At 58.2% G+C, this 5,398-nt stretch overlaps 2 annotated features.

Annotated features, from left to right (window-relative positions):
- Positions 3,206–3,764: an enhancer, noted in NCBI's record as "H3K4me1 hESC enhancer chr22:49473133-49473691 (GRCh37/hg19 assembly coordinates)". NCBI's record gives its function as "activates a minimal SCP1, AML or CMV promoter by ChIP-STARR-seq in primed H9 embryonic stem cells {active_cell/tissue: H9 hESC(primed)}" and the evidence as "EXISTENCE:reporter gene assay evidence [ECO:0000049][PMID:30033119]".
- Positions 3,765–4,325: an enhancer, noted in NCBI's record as "H3K4me1 hESC enhancer chr22:49472572-49473132 (GRCh37/hg19 assembly coordinates)". NCBI's record gives its function as "activates a minimal SCP1, AML or CMV promoter by ChIP-STARR-seq in primed H9 embryonic stem cells {active_cell/tissue: H9 hESC(primed)}" and the evidence as "EXISTENCE:reporter gene assay evidence [ECO:0000049][PMID:30033119]".

The following is a 5,398-nucleotide window of genomic DNA, read 5'->3' as shown; positions in this document are numbered from 1 at the left end:
CCCAAGGGAGACCCCCTCCTGCAGCATCCCAGCCATAGTGCATCTGTCCATGAACACAGGTTTTGGCTTCAGTTTCCCCTTCTCAGAGAAATACTGAGCAGAGGTGGTCATGTCCGCTGCTGGGGAAATGGAGGCCCGTGGCATGATCAGGCAGTCGAACTGTTCTGCGTCGGTTGTCCAGGCTTTGCTGCCCAAGGACGGAGCACAGGGAGCCACGTGTGGACCTGAGCCAGGCAGTGTCCGGGTGAGTCCCACGGGTAGTTTGGACACTTGGCGATGTTCGGCCACAGCGGACCCTGTTCTTAGACCGCCAGGCTTCCCACTGGAAGACAGAGGCAGTGTTCCTGCAGCTGGGGTGGCCGTGGGTTCCCTTGGCTCTTGGGGAGCAGCAGCCAGGCTGGGCTTAGTAGGTGCCTCCTGAGCACAGTGAGCTGGGGGTTCCAGCTTCTGCCTCTGAGTCTCTTTGACGTCTGCTTGCAGCTTTACACTCAGGGCACTTGGCAGAAGGAAGGATGGAAGGGGGTCTCCCTCATCTCATGGAGCAGGCCACAGGCCCAGGGGGCTGGAGACTCTGAACCCACAAGCACCAACAGGAACCTAACCTGCCATTCTGATGTCCCCTGCTTCAGGGCACACACTCCTGTCCGCAGAGCACACGGCTGAAATGCAAGGGGCTGTGGGATGTGAGGAGGCCTCCCCACAGGCACTAGGCCTGGGCAGGCTTCCTGGGAGGCGACCAGGGATGAGAGCAGCTGGAACTCAGCCCCTCCCTATCTGGGGCCTGGGCGGGCACACAGGGCGGGCACTGCTCAGTGGATCTTCTCATTCCTGGGGGAGCTGCAGGGAGCCCTGCCAGCCCTTCTCCTGCCCGTGAACCTCGGGATGGCCTGGGGCTGGGGAAGGACCATGAATGGAAGGCCCCCTTGCACCATGACCCTTTGCTGGAGGGGAACACTGAGGTCCACAGAGGTCTCTGTGACCAGGGCCAGCCCCTCAGTGATGGCCAGGTCTGCAGCCTGTTATAACCCTGAGCTTCTGGCCTGTCCAGGTTTCTGCCCCCACGTGCTGCAGGTCCGAGGTCTGGGAGGAGCCCTCCATGCATCTGACAGATGTCCCCTCCTCCCCTCCCCAACCCAGCCTCCCGAGAAGCCAGGGAGACCTTGGTTGGAAGCCGGGCCCAGGTGCATGCCGGCGCCACTCAGCCGAGGCGAGGGGCTAATGTGGACAGATTTCAGGGCAAGAAGAGAAACAAATCCATCTGCCTCCTAACCTGGCCATGTCAATCAAAATCTGCAAAAATCACAGAGGGGGGCTTCCTCTTGGAGCCTGCCTAGGGGAGCCTCTGGCCGGCCCCTAATGGTCATGAACCAGCCTCACCGGCCTTCATTACGGCCTGCTTCAGCCCAACCCCTGCCTGGAGGCCCCGCCAGGCAAGTCCCCACCACAGCCTGGCCCACCTCAGCTCAGGGGCGGGGTGGGGGGTGTCTGGGCCACAGCCAAGAAGAACGCTGCCTGGAGGTGAAGCCTGGAGGGGCAGGGACATCCCTGTGTCCCCTGGCAGTGCCAGCATCACCGCACATCTGGGCCTGAGCCCCCATGTAATATCCACCACGCTGGAACCAGAGGTGAGCAGTCCAGGGAAGCCTCGTCCTACAGAGCCCTGAGTGGGACCGTGAGTGCCAAGAGTGAAGCCCGCACATCTGCGGAGGACAGGATGGAAAGAACCCTGGTGCCAACCTCCTGCCCCACCCCATCAGCACTCGCACAGCCGGCTGCCAGGTACAGAGTGGACCGCCCTCCACGCAGCAGCTTTAGGCTGCAGGTTACATTTGTATCCAGGTATGGTGAGGCCGACAGGTCAGGAGATGGCTGTCACTGAAAAGATCACTTATTACTCACAGATCCAGAGAATGAGGCACCCACACCAGGCAGGGCCACGTCGGGAGGCTCCGGGGTGGCCACGGGCAGAGGGAGCTGGGGGAGCTGCGGCAGAACCTTTCCTGTGGCTTCCTGGGAAGAAGCACCAGGCCGGGCAGCAGGCTGAATGGGTTCAGAGCTGGGGAGTTTGAATGATTCCAGCTGGCTCCAGAGCATGGGGGCTGCCCCTAGTTGGTACCTGGCCCTGGTGATGAGGGCAGGGACCTGGTGTAGGCTCTGCTACAGGAGGCAGGTGGACTGTGGGCTCTGGGTTGGGGGGTTTGCATAACAGGAGAGTCCTTTGCCAGCTCTGGGACAGGCTAACCTGGGCTGGAGTGCCCAGTCCCTCCCTGATCAGCAGCCCCCATCCCCCCAGGTCCATGCATCATACACAGAAACAAGGAAACATGGTTAATACCTCACCAGGGGAGGGCCTCTCCTCTGGTCTCCTTCTGCAGCCCTAACGGCGATCACCTCGCTTCCTGGCTAAGGCCAAGGGGGCTGTGTCTCCCCCTCCTGCCACCCAGGCATGGGTCTGAACCTGGCACACAGCTGAGCACATTGTCCTCTGAAATAGATGTAGGGAGGACAGTGCTGGCGGGGGCCGGGCTGCGTACCTCCCCTTCATCCCGTGCATCTGCAGAGGCCGAGCTGCTCAAGTCACAGAGAAGCCCGAGGTCAGGATGCCAAGGCGTGCAGCTGCGGTGGTGACCTCAGAGAGCCTGCTGGCCGGGAAGGCAAGAGAGACGCCTGCTAACATGTGCACCCCTCAGAGAAGACGCCATTCTAGACCCTTCCACAGACAACCGTGGCCTGGAAATCCTAAAGGCACGAACGCTGGCGTCGTCCTCTTTCTGACACCCTCCCCGCTGTGAGGTGGATGTGCGGGTGATGGACGGCAAGGTCCACTCGCCCACTCAGGACCTCCTGAGCAAGGAGACCCCTGATGCCCTCCAGGCCCTGCCCACGCCGCCTGTGATAACAACGGGTTGCTTTTCAGTTGTCCAAAAAAACAAATTTTTTTGCAAATCCCAATCCCAGCAGGCTCTCTCTCATGTGGCCCAGTTAGTGAGTCCTTCCTGTTTATAGAATAAAAACCCCCATTCATGGATGGAATGCCTCTTTGGAGTCTGTGATTTCTGGGTATGGCAATTGCGGTCCCAGCCTTAGGAGGGTGCAGACCTGGGGCCTCCAAACGTGGCTGCCCTGTTCCAGTAAAGTCCAGGCTGGTGCGAGGCTGGGGACTGTGTGTGCTTGTGGGTGCCCCCACCCCGGGGGGCTTGTCCCTGCCGTCTGTCAGGGGCTCGTTCTGAAGCAGACGGAGACTCCCACATGCTGTCTGGTGTCTGCAGGTGACGATGGCGGTGAGCTGGCCCCTCAGGAACACAGCCTGCCCAGAGTGGTGGCCCTGCCTGAGACAGCTGGACCAGCTGCCCCCAGCCCACCCGAGTGACATGGCCTTCCCACCAACCTGCATGCCACCAGGCAGAGACCACCCACCCACGCCCTGTCTTCTGCCTCTTCAGTCACCAACCACAGGCCTGTGGCCATGAAGCAGGCTGCCCTGTGCCGCAGGGAAGGCAGGAGAGAAGAATTGAAGTCCCAGCCTCTCACTGACTCCATGGGGAAGAAGCAGGGCCAAGATCAGAACGTGGTTTGGGGACACAAGTCTGTCTACATGTGGGCAGGGGTTTTCCAGAACCCCTGTCCACAGAAGGTCCAAAGGCCCCGTCTGCTTCGCATGAAAAACACTAGAATCGTCCAATGCCCAAGAAGCAGCAGGAAGGTCTCTGGAAGACCCTGAGGTCACTGCTTTGTCTGGCCACTTCTCTGCAGCCTGGCCTCTTCCTTATGGCCATGAGGGGACAGGGGGGAACCCCCAGCACCGTGGACAGCTGGCAGCCCCCACCCTGCACCCAGCCAGTGGCCTCAGCTCCTGGGGAACCACAGCCAGTCTCTTCCTGGGGAGGCCTCGGTGAGCCAAGGGACCACTCCTCATCTGCACATCCCAGTGTGGGCTCACACGCCAGCCTCGAGCAGCCTAGACCAGAGGGCGCTCACTGTGTAACTTTCTCCAGAGGGGTGTTGATGGAGTTAAAATTGGATTTCTGCTCTGATTGATTATCTAATATGATAGAAAAATATACAGTCTGGGAGCAAATTTAGATTTCAGTGAAAAATTAAACTGTTATACCAACTTGCCCACTGAAGCATTAAATGCATTCTCTATGTAATTATATCAGCAGATCGCAGCGGCGATATGGCTGTCACTCCAGCTGCCTCTCCAGAGGTGCTCAGGACAACAGCCGCAGATGGCCAGCACCACCTCCCAAGGCTTCCGGAAGACAGGGGCCCTAACTGATTTCATTGGCGTCTTTTCCATGGAAAGCCTGCTGTCTTTCTCTGGGCTTGGGAGAAGAGGCCAGCAAATACCCTTCCTCAGAACGAGAACCTCTGGAATCAACTGGCTCCAACATCTACAGGTGGAAATGAAGAAAACCAACGCGGTAGGAATCGTGCGTGGGCTTTCAGGTGCCCAGAGGCATTTGGTGTGTGCTGAGTGATCCGCAAAGCCAGGAGAGAAGCCCTCCTTAAGTGACAGAGCCCAGGGCACCCTCCCCCACAGAGACTCAGAGCCTTAAATTCTTACCATCAGCAGCCTGGAGGCTCCTCGATTTGTCATCTCAGTCATTAGCGGTGCAGTAATTAGGTTTTGGGGTTTTTTCCCAGGCCTGGAATGTAGGATCAATAGCAGAGATGAGTTAACATAATTGGATTCTGGATGGGTCTTTTCCTTCTCCCTTCGTCATCTCTAAGTGAAAGGCTCCTGGTGCCTCCCCCTCTGCCTCCCACGCTTACCATCCCCAGCCACTCTAACCTGGAGCACCTGGCCCCACCTTCCCTCACCACCTCCTGCGGGGCATCACGCCTATTTCCCAGACTGGGTTGGGTTCCGTGTGCTCCTTTGTAAAACTGTGAATACATGGAGAGATGAATGTAAAAAATAACAAGGTATGGCTGGGGATGGGTGAAGACATGAGGGAAGGTGGCTGTCACAGCTGTTCTCAGAGACCCATCTCTGGTTTGACTTGGAAGGCGGCCCCTTCGTGATGCTGCTGCGGCCACAGCTGGGACATAACACCTGCCCACTCCCTGCAGTGACTGGAGCCACTCCTTGTTCCAACCACACAGTGGCTTCTGCTGCCTCTAGCACTACCTGAATGGGCTTTGACATGAAAAGAATTAGGGAGGATTTGAAGAAATAAGACACGCCACAGCTATCTGTGTGCCTCACACATGCACACAGACATGCTCTCACCATCTGAGAGGGCACCTTTTCATGCCAACCAACACCAAGGAGTGGCTAGAACATTTTAACATTGCTGGAAACACACTTGGAGCCCTGGGTTTCACACCTGCCTCTCTGGGAAGGAGCCCCGTTTCTCAGGGGACACAACAGAGAATGTGCTGGATTGTCTTG

The sequence above is a fragment of the Homo sapiens genome, chromosome 22 (assembly GCF_000001405.40).
Source record: "Homo sapiens chromosome 22, GRCh38.p14 Primary Assembly".
In the NCBI taxonomy this organism is placed as follows: Eukaryota; Metazoa; Chordata; class Mammalia; order Primates; family Hominidae; genus Homo; species Homo sapiens.
This window is presented reverse-complemented; position numbering and strand designations above follow the sequence as displayed.